This window comes from Homo sapiens, chromosome 11 (genome assembly GCF_000001405.40).
Source record: "Homo sapiens chromosome 11, GRCh38.p14 Primary Assembly".
NCBI lineage: Eukaryota > Metazoa > Chordata > Mammalia > Primates > Hominidae > Homo > Homo sapiens.
This window is the reverse complement of record NC_000011.10, coordinates 35,447,975-35,464,987: the sequence shown is the minus strand read 5'-3', so window position 1 is coordinate 35,464,987 and position 17,013 is coordinate 35,447,975. Positions and strand designations below refer to the sequence as shown.

Here is a 17,013-nt window from a genome sequence, read left to right as displayed (position 1 = left end):
AGCGAGTCCTCTTAAAGGACTTCCCATCCCAGTTAAAGCTCATCTGTTTCTCTTTTCCAAATAGAATTCCGATGTACAGACTCTTGATAGAAGCTATTCTCTTTATTTTCCTAATGTACGTGTATGTCTGTGAGTGGAGTGGAATAGAAGTAGATTTTCTACTTAATTGCAGAAATATATGTCAAAAAAATCAAACAGTACAGAGGTGTATAGAATAAAAAGAGAACATTGTTTTTTCCTGGCCAATCCTGGTTCCCAGTGGAAGCATTGTAAGAACTTGGAGGATATTCTTCTAGACCTTTTTTTCTGCGGTATGCAAACCTAAGTGGTCTATGTGTCATTATTTTAAATCAGTGGTTCTCAACCAGGGGTGATTTTGCTCTCCATCTCTACTCACAGGGGACATTTGGCAATGTCTGGAAACAGTGTTGGCTGTGATAATTGTAGGAGTGAGGTGGTGTGCTGCTGGCATCTAGTGGGTAGAGGCCAGTGATGCTGCTAAACATCCTACACTGCACAGGACAGGCCCCACAACAGTTATCTGGCTCAAAGATCAGTAGTGCCAAGGTTGAAAAACCTTGTTTTAAACACAAGTGAGTTAAGTATGCATACAATTTTTCAATTTATTTTCAGTCCCCATGTTATGGATATTTTTTCAAGATCAGTCCATGTTGGTATTCTGATTTGAAAAAATGATTGCTGAATAGTCATTGAAAGGCTGAATGTGTTAATATAATTATATATTCATCCAAGTCCTTAAGATGGACTTGATATTGCTTTTAACATTTTGCTATTATGAAGAGCACTGCAATGAATATCCTTACATATATTTCTTTGTTCATACATAGAAATATTTTTGTAAGATAAATTCTTAGATGCTGAACTGTTCATTCAAAGGGTACACGTATTTTGATTTTGAGAGCTACTGTGGTCACTAAAAGGTTTTGGCAATTTAGAAGACGAGCCATTCATTATCAACACCTGTCCTCAAAATAAGACTTGGGACCTGCATTTCAGAAACTAGGATCCATCCTTGTCAAGCTGGAAATGAATTTATTTGCAAAGGAATTCCATTGGTCTGGGGAGAAATTTCTCCTTCAGACTTTCATGGGACAGGAGATAAAGAATGCAAAATAATCAGCTAGATTTGGCCTAGTACCAGCTGTCAAGAAGGTGTGAGAGCCTCCGATGGGACAGTCTTCAAGGGCTGCTACCCCAGGCCTCACCTGCCCTAGATTGTTTCCGAAGGAGGAAAAACTTCCCCCGGTGCCTGGGTGACCTCCTTGGAAGCACAACAAGGGGAACGGCCCCCTCCTCCGCCTTGAGGCCAAGCTAGCCTCCTGCCAACACCGTCAGCAACCTCCAGCCTCCTTGGGCCACCGTGTAGGAAACTGGGGCCCCTTCTTCCCTCTGAAGTTTCCTGTTTCTTTGTATGGAACACAACAACAAAATGGGTCCTCGAGTAAATGGTCAGAATCTTGTTTTGAAAAAGTGGAGAGCAAGGGATTCATCGTCCTGCTCTAATTTCCATGTTGCCTTTGTTCCCCCGGCCCAGTTGACGGGGCTGGGACTTCCCCCTGCATCCTAATGAAGGACGATGAAACAGGCTAACTCTTGGGGCACAATGCTCACACTGCGGGCTCTGACACGCCTTGGAGCAAAACAAATCGACCTCCACCAATTAAAGAAAAATGGTGAATCTGGATTCATTTGGGTTTTGGAGTCTCTGAAGGTTCCCACTGGCCTGTCCCAAGGCCTGGGAAGAAAAGAGCTCAGGCTGAGAGGCACACTTTATGCTTTAGCTTCAAAGGGGAGACCCGCGCTTCTCATCAGAATAAACAATTAGGAACTTTGGGGTGTTCATGAAAACATGAAGCCGAACCAGTGAGAACGTACTGAGACCCCTAGTGGGTAAACTAACATCTCTCCCATCACGGACAGATGCATATACTGCAGGCTAGGTGGAATTACTGCAAATTATTTTGAGATCTCTGAGGGTGAGGCATTTAAAAATGGAATTTTTACTGCCTTTTTTCACAGTTCTAAGACCTCTCTTATCCTTAATACACAGAAGGCAGGTGCATCTTTGTCCATCATGAGATGGTACGCCCCAAGGTGAAGAATCACCTTAGAATCTGTGGCCAGAAAAACCTTGGTTTGACACTGAGTCTTCAATTAACTAGTCAGGTGGTCTTGAGCGAGTCATTTAGCTCCTATGAGCCTCACTTTCCCCATTTATAACCTCCAGAAAAATAATACCAAATTCCTCTTAGGGTGTTTGTAGGGAGGGGATGAGATGATCCACATAAGGCACTGAGTTGAGTAATAGGAGCCATCCCACTGTTTCTGATTCCACATTACGGCCATTTAAAAGTATGGCAGAAAGTAAGGGATTCCCTGGATAAGGGACTAGGGCAACAACACTAGTTTCTACAATCTGGACAATTATGACATAACTTTCTCAAAGTCCTAGGATTTCAGAAAACTCTCCCAAGACTTTCTGAGTTTCCTTTGCAAACCTCCTCAAGCCATTGCTAAACACTAAATATTGCCACCACTGCACCAACATACAGGCAAGAAAGATCTGTTTTTAAAAGGACAAGTAGGTGGTGCCAGTGTCACTGTTGTAAAGAAATACTGAATCCCAGGAAAAGACACCCACATTAGGCATGTTGAATGCTGAGGCTTGGTAACCTGGACAGCCTTGGGAGGGAGCTGTTAGAAATGACAAATAGAGTAATGATGGGGAGAAACTAGATTCGGACACTCCAGAGCAGGTTGCTCAAAGCATCATGTTATCTGGCCAGCCTCCCTTTTTCTCATGGGGTTTTATTGGTCACTTATTTAGTGTGGGCTGTGTCAGTCCCCTGCTGGTCATTTTGGAGACAAGACTTCAGAGTAACATTTTGGTATTTTGTTAAACGGACAGGGAGAAGAAAAAAAAAAAGGAGCAATCAAGACTTCAGAGTAACATTTTGGTATTTTGTTAAAGGGGCAGGGAGAAAAACAAAGGCTCAATCTGTCTTGAGAGGGTATGAAGGGCATAGGGCTAATTCCATGGAGAACAGTCCCAAGGAATCCGTGGCTATTACCCGCATGTACTTGATAGCCCAGAGCCTTTGCAGACTGGAGGAGCCCAGGAAGACCATTAGCTAGTGGGCCACTGTCTTCTTACACATTACCTGGGTCTCTCATCTACTTACCCTCCCTAATATGAAATGAATCTGTAATGTCCTCCTTGGTGTGTTCAGAGGGATGCCATCCCATTTGGATTTAGATCCAAAAAACAAAAGCTGCCACTGAACATAGTAGAAGCTGCCCTTTTATAGTTACCAAGGTGTGTGTGTGTGTGGGTGTGTATGTGTGTTTTTTTTTTTAATTTTGGGGAAAAGTTTTCTTTTCAATTAGATCAATCCTTGTGAGATGAGCTTGGGTCTACCTAGCCCAAGTGACATCTTAGTATGAACTATCCTGGGCTCCATGGGCCTTGACCAAAACATTGCTATGTCTCATGCAGGGCAAGAGGCTTAGGGGTTCTGACATAAGGGGTGTATTTTGCTACTCAGGAATTATTTCAGCATGGACAGCATTCTAGCCAAATACCTAGGCTAGAGCCAAATACCAAAGTGAAGCCATGTAAACAATGCAGCAAGACTACCTCCAAGAGCTGGGAACAGAGCACCCATCAGTGTTGAAAGGGCCAGACCCACCATTGCTTTGCTAACGCTTTGCTTACGCTTTGCTTGCACCTGTCTGCTTCTTGCCAAGGGCCTTTTGGCTTTTGCTTTGGCAGATGAGGTCACTGAGACAGGACTTAACATGGCAGGCAGATTGTATTTGGGTTCTGGGTTAAGAGGTAATTCATTAGAACTGGGATGGACTGTCTACCTACTAAGGGTTGAAAGAGAAGGGTGCTCATCATCACTGGCCATCAGAGAAATGCAAATCAAAACCACAATGAGATACCATCTCACACCAGTTAGAATGGCGATCATTAAAAAGTCAGGAAACAACAGGTGCTGGAGAGGATGTGGAGAAATAGGAACACTTTTACACTGTTGGTGGGACTGTAAACTAGTTCAACCATTGTGGAAGAGTGTGGCGATTCCTCAGGGATCTAGAACTAGAAATACCGTTTGACTCAGCCATCCCATTACTAGGTATATACCCAAAACATGCTGCTATAAAGATGCACACACACGTATGTTTATTGCAGCACTATTCACAATAGCAAAGACTTGGAACCAACCCAAATGTCCAACAATGATAGACTGGATTAAGAAAATGTGGCACATATGCACCATGGAATACTATGTAGCCATAAAAAAGGATGAGTTCATGTCCTTTGTAGGGACATGGATGAAGCTGGAAACCATCATTCTCAGCAAACTATCACAAGGACGAAAAACCAAACATGCATGTTCTCACTCATAGGTGGGAATTGAACAATGAGAACACTTGGACACAGGAAGGGGAACATCACACACCAGGGCCTGTTGTGGGGTGGGGGGAGTAGGGAGGGAAAGCATTAGGAGATATACCTAATGTAAATGATGAGTTAATGGGTGCAGCACACCAACATGGCACATGTATACATATGTAACAAACCTGCACGTTGTGCACATGTACCCTAGAACTTAAAGTATAGAAAAAAAGTATATAAAAAAAAAAAAAAGAAAGAGGAGGATACAAACAGTGAGAGCATAGCACAATTAACTTCTGTTGGAAACAAGTATCCCTGACATTATGGGACCCAAGACAGACACCAGCCTGTTGGCAATGGTTATAGAACCCCACATTTCCTTAAAGGTATCTGCCTTGTGGGACATTTACCACTTGTCCCTCCCCTTGCAGGGCATTAACTACATGTCCCTCCTCCTGTGTCAGAAAATGAAAGCTTCCTCTTTGCAAAATGCAAGGTATTCTTGTTGGTATCCATGTACTAAAGCAATAGTCATTATTCTCTCTATCGTTAATATAGGCCAGGCTCTGGGCTTTATGTGACGTGACCCATTTATTTGTCTCAATGTTCCCATGTAGTAGATACTTTGATTACCTGCACTTTACAGATTCATCCAGCTAGACATTTTTGAGTGTCTATGAGGTACCAGGCACTGGGGAAATAAGGCAGGGCTATCCAGTATATATTTTCCCCTCCTTTTGACAAAGCTATGGAACAATTCCAATCTTAGCCCTTTCCTAGTCTTTAGAAGAATGTTACATGCCATGCAGTTTCCAGCTACAGCTTCTTCTAGCAAGGCTTTTGGTAATAGTGATGGTGATGATGAAAGTTATTACATGCTTCCAGTATGCCAGGAACTGGGTGGGATCTCCTAGGACTCAAATGTGCCTAGCAGCCGAGGAATCTTCTGCAAGTTCATTCTCTTCATCCCCAAGGCTAAACAGAACAGAAATGCCCAGCTCAGGCCATTTCTTATAGTTTGAGAAGTTGGCTATGAATACCACTGGGGAACATTTCCCCCAGTAGTTTAGAGTTATCACCCACCCCCAAGGAGCTGAAGCAGAAATCTTCTGAGATTTGGGGAAGCCCCAAGAAAACTAATGTTACCAAGCAGATTCAGTAGAGGATGGTGAAGTTTCTAACACATACATAGGCTACCCATCTACACTGTCAAATGGGAATGTGTCAGGTTGATTTTGAAGAAGAAATACAATGACTAGGACTTTTCAAAAATTTTCCAAGTTGACCTGTCTCTTAGGCACAGGCAGTTTCAGCTGTCTAAATAAATAGGCCATCCAAATACCGGAAAAGTGGTATCCGAAAGACATAGTGTACCATGCCCAAGGACAATACTGATTAAGATCAAATAGCTAATTGTAAGCCTCAGCCTCTAAATTGCTGCCGGATGAAAAAATAACAGTGTGTGCAATCCAAGCATAATTTCACATAGAGAGAGAATGAGAATTTCTCATTCACACCCCCAGAGGGCTGGAAAACATCAGGGGGGAAGAATTCCATTGGCTGGAAAGGGATCAAAAGAGTTTTCAGTGGGGATTACATCACCAGTTGGTGTCATTATTCCTGGTTGGTGAAGACCTTCCTGGGAGTAAAAAATATTTGGTTTGGTCCAGAGACACAAAACTCAAATATAAGCTGAACAGGAAAAAATGAGGAAGAGAAGAGAGGCCATGTGATGCTGTCTGTAAGAGCTGGCCTCATGTTAAGTAGATTTCCAGGATGAACAATGCCCTGATGAGAAAGTTAATGCCTTTTCTAAACAGAACCAAAATTCTGTCACAAGTTGTTTCCTTGATTTTGGTGACAAGTGACAATGGGCGGATGCCAAGAGTATGCTAAGAATTGAGACAAACATCTCTCCATCCCTGGCCCTTACTACCAGTTAGATGACAGTCATCAATTTTGCTGACTCTGGATCTGTTTCCTTTGCTGGAACTCTCAGATAATCTTATAGCTCCAAAACCCAGCTCATATCAGAGAAACAGAATAGTACCTGCCTGACTTGGTTTTTAGCTCAGGTGGTATCTGGCAATCATAAATATTTCATTAACATAACATTTGCAAAAAAAGAAATACATGTTTTGTATGTATAGTTTTGTAAATCACTGCAAACTCTTTCTGAAAGCAAGCAGGGTACAAATAATTAAAGTAAAATAAAATAATTTGGAAGCTGAACAAGAACAATAAAAAAATAGAGCATTAGATGGGATAGAGATTAAAAGAAAGTGAATGAACACACATTCATCTGGGGGTGCAACCATTGCTGATTTTATTCTAACATCTACTCCTTTCTTCCCCTTATCTAAGGATGGGTGCTGAGAAAATGTTGTTCACTTCAGTTTTATAAATTATAGAAATGTTGATTTTTCAAATATTATATCTTTCTAAAAAGTAGATCATTCTCCCTTTCCTGAAAAGAAAAAGGTAGCTGGACTTGATTATGTTTACCATTTCTGTGCATGCTAACCCAGCTGTCTTGTACTTTTATGCTCCTTCTACCCTGTCTGAGGCTTTCTTTGGCTCTCAGGGTGCACAGGCTCCTATAGGTGGGCAAATGGGAGGTATGAAGAGTTAATGTTCATCTCATCATCCTTCAACAAATGATTAATGACAAGTGGTAGGTAATAACTCATATCCCTTCCTCTGTGAGTAGGATAATGATGAGACATGCTCCACACTGTCTCCCAGAGTTTCTGAACATCATTCAGCCTCAGTAATCCCCTGTGGTAACCTCCTTGATAATGCAGTCTTATCTCCTTTCTCATTTATAATAATCCCCATCTCATTTCCCTCACTCCACTGTTGGTTCTTCCTAAGATTGTCACCTAAATGAACTACTTGCACTCAAAGCCTTGTCGAACAGGCGGCTTCTAGGAGAACCCAACCTAAGACACCTCATGAAGGTGTTTCCTTGAGGAGCTAACTTAATAGAGGTCTACAGCTTTGTATTAGTCATGGTTCTCTAAAGAAACAGAACTAATAGAATTTATATAAATATGTGTATACACACACACATACACACAAAGTATTGGCTCACACAATTATGGAGGCTGAGAAGTGCCATGATATGCTGTCTACAAGCTGGAGACCAGGAAAGCCAGTGGTGTAATTTGAAGGCTGGAGATCCAATAGTGTAGACTTCAGTAAGCATCTGAAGGCCTAAGAACCAAGAGTGCTGAGGGCAGAGATGGATTCCCCCTCAAGCATTCAGGCAGAGAGATAACCCAAATTATCCCTTCCTGCACCTTTTTATTCTATTCTGGCCCTCAACAGATTGGATGATGCCTGCCCACACTGGGGGAGAGCAATCCTTTTTACTCGTTCTACCAATTCAAACACCAATCTCTTCCAGAAACACCCTCACAGACATGCCCAGATATAATGCTTAACAAGATATCTGGCATTTCATGATCCAGTCTAGTTGACACATAAAATTAAGTACCACAGTCAGGTAGATCACCATCTAGTTGTTTCTCTAAACTATTAGAGAAGCCTTTGATCAATGCTGACTAACATATATTTTAGGGTTGCATTATCTGAAGGATACTCAAAATATGAATCATCTGTATTGCTGATTTTAAAAAAAAGTTAGATCTAAGAATTGATATTCTGTACACACACGTGTGCACATGCACAAGCTCTTCTCTGTGTGTAAGAGCAAGTTTAGTCCATTGTAGGTTCATGGGAGTGAGTGGAGACTGCAGTGTTATTTGTGGAGAGAGCCAACAATACTTCCCAGAGGATTTGGTATCTTCTGAAGGGTTTGTTCAAACTGAAGGGTTTGAAACATGCTATGCAGCATGTTTGAAAATGGCTGCTCCTATCATAAAGAAGTGCCTCTGGGTCTCTTCTAATTGTCTCATCTCTTGTAATTGTGCCCTGATCAATTGTCCACACTGCATTAACTACACAAATGTGCCCTGGTTAAATGGTGATCTCTGCATCAACAGTTCTATCTAGTACCACAGGGAGAACACAAATAGGATAAAACTGGGAGCTCCAATTCCAACAAATCTCCAATGATTATTCTCAGCAGAAGCATTTAAATTAGAATTTGGTTCCGTTTAACTCAGCATTCTACCTGTAGATTAAGAAATTTCTTTTCAGACAGCACGGCAGGCTAAGTGGTATGAACCCACTGCAATTAATTGCACCTGATGAAATCTTTGCTACAATCCGACTACAGTCAACTTCTGGGGTTGGCTAGTATTTGCTGAGACCCTGCACCTCATTCAAATTCATCTAAGGACCCATGGTTACCTTTACTGTATTCATTGGTTCACAACTTATCCTCTGATGTAATTATAGAAGCAAAGTTAAGAAAGGTACTAGCCACTTAGTAAGAATTGGTGCAAGTGAAAAAAAAATTATATATGTATTTATTCTCCCTACTCTTGCTCTCTCTCTGTCTTTCTCCTTTTCTGGTCAGAATGAATTGAGTTGGCCCAAAGAAGTAAAATTGAATTTCCTGCAGTGACATCCCTTCAAGTACTAGTTGGAACTATTAACTCTCTTTTTTGATTGAAAAAGATTGTGTTGGGTAAAAATCTGACCTGGGGAATAAGTAAGTGGAAGGAAAGCCCCAAATCTTTTTTTTTTTTTTTCTGTTAAGTGTTTAAGTGAAGCTAGAGAGAGCCTTGAGAAGTATAAAGCACCTTAGTAGAATATCTTGAACTGGCATCTCTTCTATTTCAGGGTTTAAATAAAAAATTTCTATATTAAACATATAGAAAAACATCTTCTAATGGCTTATTCAGCTGGGCACAGAGGAGGCACTCATTAAATGTGTGAAGATCTAAGAAAATGAATCAAATCAATAGTTAATAACACTTCATCATTCTGTGTGACATGCTGGACTTCTGAAAGGCAAAGCAGTGCTTGAACTCTTTGGCTTCTAGGGGCTTTTTGTAGCTCTCATCTCCAACTTTGAACTTATGGCTTGGAGACTTAAGCAAAAGGAAAAGACATATATTCATGCAAGGCTGGTGTATCATATTAAAATTCTAGATTCATTCATTCATTATAGACAGGCATACACTGGTGGATAGCAATAAATGAAAGAAGAGGTCTGTTGTCTCATCACAGCTAGGATCTACTCCTAAGTTTTGTGTTTATCAGAGGATATGGAGGGGGCCTCCACTCCCAGGTTAGGAATGAAGAGTATGGACTTCCTTTTCACACATTTAATATTATTGATTTTACTGGAGGGCATAGAAAATGGTGTCATGAGTGTGTACTGAGGAACCACTTTTCCTGAAAATAACTCCACATTTTCCTGATATAGTTACTCCCTGATATCACTATCATCATGTCCACTTCCTATAGAATTTATGGACCTGGTCATCTCAGCTACTTTTATGTCGAGTATGACAGTCACATAGGTGAGAAAAGGATGTCACTTTACTTGCTTTGAATCCACTAAAATCCATCTCTCAGACCTGTAATTCAGGCTCATGAAAAAGGCAGTCGCTGTCATTCTTGGGACCTCCTCTGTGCCCCAGACTTGTAAAAAGGTTACTTGCTTTACACAGACAGCACCAAATCATCAGAGGGAATCATCTCATGGCAGATTTTAGGTACATGCTGTTTTGTTAGGGAAGCCCAATGTCTTAGACTACCTAATTCTTTCAGGTAAAACATCTTGGCTGGTGTGGGGCTGGCCTGGAGCCCAAGGCGAGCATATTTGTGGAGGTTGGAAGTCCTCTCACGAGGACCTGGCCTCTACTTGCTTGGCCAATCATACTCCCCAAGATCTTTTCACTGCCTAGGAGTGCTGCACACAGACCCTGATACCCAGGGTTAAGACAGCTACCTCTTTGTGATATCATCCCCTCCAGGAGTGAGACTGAGGGAAGGCATGAGGGACCTTGATGTCTAGGGCTAAGAAAACAGCAGAGTTGTCTCAGGTTAGTTTTTTCCCCAAGCAGTCCCTGAGTCACGTGCTTGGGTCCAACTGATTTATCAAAGGAAGCACTCCCAGGATCAACCAGTAACAGAGCTGGGGAAGCAAGATAAGAATGGGGATGGAATCAAGCAAGAGTGTTTTCAACTGAACTCCCAGACTCAACCTGATCTCATGGGCTCTGAGGGGTATAAATTACACCTCCAGGAACACTGTTTGGGCTTGTAAACTTCCATATCCATCAGTCATTGCCTACAGGCAACCCTGGGGTGGGCCTAGGGGGACAAAAATCTCCTAGATATTTTTCAGCTCATATGAGGTACACATATGAAGTACAGGGTGGTGGCCATGCCCAAGGGCAGTCCTCTGAAGGTTGTAAGTGCCGGTTCTCAGCTGCAAAGCACTCATGTAGAAGTTGAGGAATGGGTGCCTTGAGCTGGCAAAAGAATCTGGGAGACTTAAGTGTTCATTGTAGAGCCATTCCAAAGCCATCACATATGCTTCTGTAAACTGACATGACAGTTTACATGAGAACCACCTCATACAGTTGCCTGGAGGAAAAAAAACAAAAATAAGAAAGGTCTTTCTTTAAATATTTATCTGAAACAATATCCCAGAGAAATGCACCTTTGATTCCTATTTTTTGTTCATGCAATAGCATGTAAGGGCATGCTAAACCTAGTGTGTTTCTGTCTCCAGGATGAGTCCTGAAAGTAGCATGGCAATGTGCTATTTATTATTAATCACAGAATATTTCACTTAGTGAAGCAGGACCTTGATGCTCCTTCAGGCCAGAAATGCAAATATTTTAAATTCTCATTTGGCTTTGCACCAAAAAAAACCCATCCCACTGAAGATAAATGAAACACTCATTAAAAACTCAAATAGGAAAGAATCATGAATCAGTTCAATGGCGAGACACAAAGGTTTCTAAAAAGAGAATGAGTAGGAAAAAAAGATTGTTTTGAAATCTGACCCTGGGGAGGAGCTCTGATGAGGTGCAGATGGCCTATGTACCCACCAGGTAGATGTCTAAACTGGGAGGGCAAGTCTTAGAATTCACATAAAAAGCATCATAGGAGATAGTGTGGCTTTGGGAAGTACAGAAAATAAATGAGAGGTAAGGGAGTAGTTGTTTGATGTAGGATGCAATTGAAGGCTTTATTGTGCAGGATTAAAAGATACGAATGTACAGACACCGTGGTTGGCACCCAGAAGTGTGATCAACACCTTGGAATGAGGTATGGAAGGCCGTCGTGGGTAGACATTACCAGGAGCCCAGAAAATGGAGTGGAATATTGCATTATGTTTGAATAGGCCCAACAATGGGCTTTTGTACTTCCCTGTGGGGTTTTCTTTAAGATATATTTGGGAAATTGGCATTTAAAGGCAGTTGGGTGCTTTGTGAACAAAGGCAAGTAAGGGAAAAGGAAACTGTGCTATTTCAGTTACTTCTCAGAACAAGCCCAACCAGGTAAGTGTTATCCTGCTTTACAGATGAGAAGAGCAAGGCTTGGGGACATTATGTAATTTTTCCAAACCCTAGTTCATTAAGTGGAAGAATGAATATATTTAACCCTTTATCCCTTCCACCCACCAACAAATATTTATTGAACACCTACTATACGCTTGCTCTGGACACTGGGGAACCAAATGATTATCTGAACCCATATCTATCTGATCCTGAAGGCCATTCTTTTTCCATTAGAGTCTAGTGAATAAACTCATTTAAATAATTTCATAGAAAATTATATTACTCTATGATTAGACAAGATATTAAAGAGATTTTTATGGGGTGGTGAGACTATGGGAACACATAAAAATAGGCATGAAAGACTGAATAATGCTAGATTTAGACACTTGGCAGGGAAGACCCAAGCCATTTTGCTTGATAGGTACTTAACCCCAGAAACAACAAAAATAATAACAAAATTTTACAGTCACATTTTCTGATTATAGAACTTTGGAAAAAATTATAAAGAAGCAAAATTTATTTTTAATGTTATAAGCCAGAGATAATAACTGTAATTATTTTAAAGTATGTTCTAGTTTCTCCCCCAACCCTTGGCTGCTTCATATTTAGCTGGCTTTGAACTTTGTGAATCTGTAGGTTGATGTCTTTCACCAGTATGGGAAAAATTTTAGCTATTATTTCTTTGCATATTATTTGTACTCCATTTTCTGTCCCTTCTCTTTCTTGGATGCCAATTACATTTATTTTTTAGCCTTCTCACTCTATCCCCTATGTCCCTTATTTTTTCCCATGTATTTTAAATCTTTTTGTCTCTTTTTGCTTCATTCTGAGTTTTTTTAAGCCATCTTTTAGTTTACTAATACTCTTCAGTGGTATCTGATTTGCTATTAAACTTATCTACTGAGCTTTAAATTCCTGCCATTATACTTTTCAGTTCCATGTGTTTCCTTTGTTTATTTTTTTAAGGTTTCCAGTCTTCTGCTCAATCTTGTTTTATTTCCTCGAACATATTCAGCATAGTTATTTTTGAGTAGTGTTAGATAACAACATTATCTGTATTCTTTATAAATGTGTTTCTATTGTCTGTATTTCTCTTGATTTTCAGTCTTGCCTTCTGTCTTAGTCAGTTTGGGCTGCTACAAGAGAATACCATAGACTGGGTGACTTAAACAACAAACATTTATTTCTCACAGTTCTGGAGGCTGGGAAGTCCAAGATCAAGGCGTCAGAAGATTCATTGTCTGGTGAGGGCTTGCTTCAGATGCTGACTTCTTGCTGTATCCTCATGTGGCAGAAGGAGGGTGGGAGAGCTCTCTGGGTTCTTTTTTACAAAGTCACTAATCTCGTTCATGAGGGCTCCACCCTCATGAACTAATCTACTCCCAAATGCCCCACATCCTAATACCATGATATTGGGGATTTGGATTTCAATATATGAATATTGGAGGGACACACACATTCAGTACATTGTACCTTCTATTGGATCCTAACTCAGAAGCATCACTTGGCTCTATCCTGATGACATTCCGTAAGCAATAACTTAAAACCAAATAATGGTTCTCATAGTTCTCCATTCTAAGATCTCATCAAGTTAAAGTTGTACCATTGATTTAATTATAGCTTTTCTGGGTTTGTGAGGAAGGAAATACTACATGAAAAGTACACATCACATGTGATTTGATTTCAGAAATGCCAGATTATAAAAGAATACACATCTAAGCATTATGGAAATATAGCTATATTCCTTGGGCAGAGGTGTTTGTATGTCCTGATTCAGTTTCTCTTGAAGTCTTCTTTTAAAGTCTGTTTAGTGAAAGAAACAAAGGATCTAAATTGTTCTCAATCTCTGTTACTTTCAAGGGCTCAAAAACTCTCTAAAGTTTCTGCTAGTTAAATCCACATTAAATATAGTAGAGCTACAAGCCATTAGAACCCTGCATTTGGAAAGTAACAGAGTGGGAGCCTAGTGGACCATGAAAGCACTTCCTTCCAAGGGCAGAAAAACCCAACTGTCAGGCTTACCTGTCAAAGCCAACAATAGAAAGGATTTCTTATCCTCTGCTGAGGCAGATGTGGCTAGAGTACAGTTCATTTTCTCTCAGTATTCCAAGACTGGTCTTAAATATCACTCAATCTTTCTTGGCCATGAGCTCTAGCTAGCAATGGTCAAAATCGATGGGGAGCTCCACTTAATTTACACAAATTGTAGCCCTTTAATAGGCTAATTGGCTGCAGATTCACATGCCTGCTAGAAGTAGGCAGCCCTTGGGGGCTGTGAAGAATAGGGCTCTCTTCTAAGCAAAGACACTTTTCAACTCCAGTTGATTATTGCTATATGGGAATACAGGCCCAGGATTTCAGATCTGAATTATGTTAGAAACGAATAATATAGATTTTTAAATGAAATCTCCCAATTTTTATGTCTGCAACGAATTCCATTTTATAAAACTTTCAAGCATAACATATTATGTTTTTGAGACAATTTCAGTCTGTGGGCCCCAGTGGGTGCTTACTAAGCTCAATTTTCAGAATGAATGAATCTGTGCTATTAGAAGCTACCACCATCAGTGAAGCAACATGGACTGCTTTATCTGCCTTTTCCTCCCACATCATGGAGGCATTTCTGAAAATGTAAGCACTGGAGTTTTGTGAGTCCACTTGAAGCATTAAGAAACCCATTACCCTTTTTATACCATCACAGTATTTTTAAACAGCTTACTCAGTGGGGTCCCTTTTTTATACTTATTAATAAAATGGGGGCTTTGGATTCATTTGCCAGAAAAAAATGCTGATATTACATAGTCCAAAGGCATACAGAGTGTCATTGAGATTAACTTACGCATAGTCTATGGACGGTCTTAGAGTGGACAAACCGGTGATTTGGCTAATTGTTGCAGCCTTGCCAAGTTGCACATAGGAAAGTTATTTATTTTTAATTCTCAAATATTTTAGAGGTGTTATCTGAATAGAGATTTTTTTTTTTTTTTTTTTTTTTTTTTTTTGCCTGGAGGCAGCCAAGTAAGTTTCTTGGAAGGCAATTGGGACAGTTACAGGAAAGAAAGCTTATCAAATGCATAATTGTGGGGGCCAAGATGGCTGATTAGAAGCAGCTCTAGCCTGTGGCTCCCACTGAGAAAAATGAAAATGGCAAGTGAATCCTGCACTTTCAGCTGAGGTATCTAGGTTCTCTCATTGAGACTGACTAGGTGGTTGTCATGACCCATGGAAAGCAAGGAAAAGCAGAGTGGAGTGATGGCCCAGCCGGGAGCTGCATGGAGTAAGGCAAACTCCCACCCCAGCCAAAGGAGGCAGTTAGTGATGTGCTACCCTGCCAGGGAAACCACAATTTTGCCATGGATCTGTGCAACCCACAGATGAGGAGATCCCCTTGTGAGCCCATGCCACCAGGGCCTTTGGTCTCAAGCACAGAGCTGTGCAGTCTCTCGGAGGCTGCTTGGGTTGTGGCCAGTGGCAGCAGGCTGGAGACTGCCTAAGATGACCAAGTTCCCAGGGGGAGGGGAGGCAGCCATCACTGCGGTTTCAGTTGGCCATTTTCCCCTGCTGGTCCAGAAAGATCGGACGGTTTGGACAGAGAAGAATTCCTCACAGTGCAGCACAGTAGCTGTGGCAGATTGTGGCCAGACTGCTTCTTTAGGTGGGACCTGGATCCATCCCTCCTCACTGGGTGGCACCTCCCTTCAGGAATTCCGGCAACTCCAGCCAGGGGTTTACGGACAGAACCCCAGTCTTCCTGGGACAGAGCCTCTGTGGGGAGGCGGTCATGATCTCCTGTTCAACACACTTAGTTTTTCCTGCTTGCTGGCTCTGAGGTGGCCAGTGGGACAGATCCTCTGTGGGGAGGCAGTCATGATCTCCTGTTCAACACACTTAGTCTTTCCTGCTTGCTGGCTCTGAGGTGGCTGGTAGTCCAGACGAGTGGGATTTCCCCCAGTGCAGTGCACCTGCTCTGCCAAGGGGCAGCCAGATTGCTTCATTAAGCAGGTCCCTGATCGTGCCTCCTGACTGGGTGGAACCTCCCAACAAGGGTGGCCAGACACCTCATACAGGAGAGTTCCAGCTGGCATCAGTTTGGTGCCCCTGTGGGATGGAGCTCCTGGAGGAAGGAGCAGGCAGCCATCTTTGCTTTGCTGCAGCCTCCACTGGTGATATCTCCAGGTGTGGGAGGGACCCAGGTGAATAGAGTCTGGAGTGGACCTCCAGCAAACGGCAGCAGCCCTGCAGAAGAGGGGCCTGGCTGTTAAAAGAAAAACAGAAAGCAACAACAACATCAACAAAAAAGACCCCACAAAAATCTCATCCAAAGGTCAGCAGCCTCAAAGATTGAAGGTAGATAAACCCATGAAGATGAGAAAAAATCAACATAAAAGTGCTGAAAATTTAAAAAGCCAGAGCGTCTCTTCTCTTCCAAATGATTGCAACACCTCTCCAGCAATGGCACAGAACTGGGCTGAGGCTGAGATGGATTAATTGACAGAAGTAGGCTTCAAAAGGTAAGTAATAATGAACTTTGATGAGCTAAAGGAGTAAGTTCTAACCCAATGCAAAGAAGCTAAGAATCATGATAAAACACTACAGGAGCTGTTAACCAGAATAATCAGTCTAGAGAGGAACATAAATGACCTGATGGAGCTGAAAAACACAGCATAAGAACTTCACAATGCAACCACAAGTATCAATAGCTGAATAGACAAAATGGAGGAGAGAATCTCAGAACATTAAAACTATCCTGCTGAAATAAGACAGGCAGACAAGATTAGAGAAAAAAAAAATGAAAAGGAATGAACCAAACCTCTGAGAACTATGGGATTATGTAAAAAGACCAAACCTGATTGGGGTACCTGAAAGAGACAGGGAGAATGGAGCCATGCTAGAAAACATACTTCAGGATGTCATCTAGGAGAACTTCCCCAACCTAGAAAGACAAGCTAACATTCAAATTCAGGAAATCCAGAGAACCCCAGCAAGATATTCCATAAGAATGTCAACTCCAAGACACATAATCCTCAGATTTTCCAAGGTTGAAATGAAGGAAAAAATGTTAAGGGCAGCCAGAGAGAAAGGCAAGGTCACCTACAAAGGGAATGCCATCAAACTAACAGTCGATATCTCAGGAGAAACCTACAAGCCAGAAGAGAT

The 17,013-nt window shown here is 41.5% G+C and overlaps 1 protein-coding gene across 4 annotated transcripts in view; it reads left to right on the top strand.

The window, feature by feature from the left end:
- The window catches only part of PAMR1 (peptidase domain containing associated with muscle regeneration 1), a 98,474-nt gene that overhangs the window by 65,313 nt on the left and 16,148 nt on the right, over positions 1–17,013 (top strand). Inside the window, exon 7 of one of the 4 annotated variants that reach the window (NM_015430.4) lies at positions 13,050–13,100. The exons of the other annotated variants lie outside the window; for them this stretch is intronic. Within the exon in view, the coding sequence (NP_056245.2) occupies positions 13,050–13,100 (51 nt within the window). The remainder of the gene's footprint in view (positions 1–13,049; positions 13,101–17,013) is intronic. 4 annotated transcript variants of the gene reach the window in all.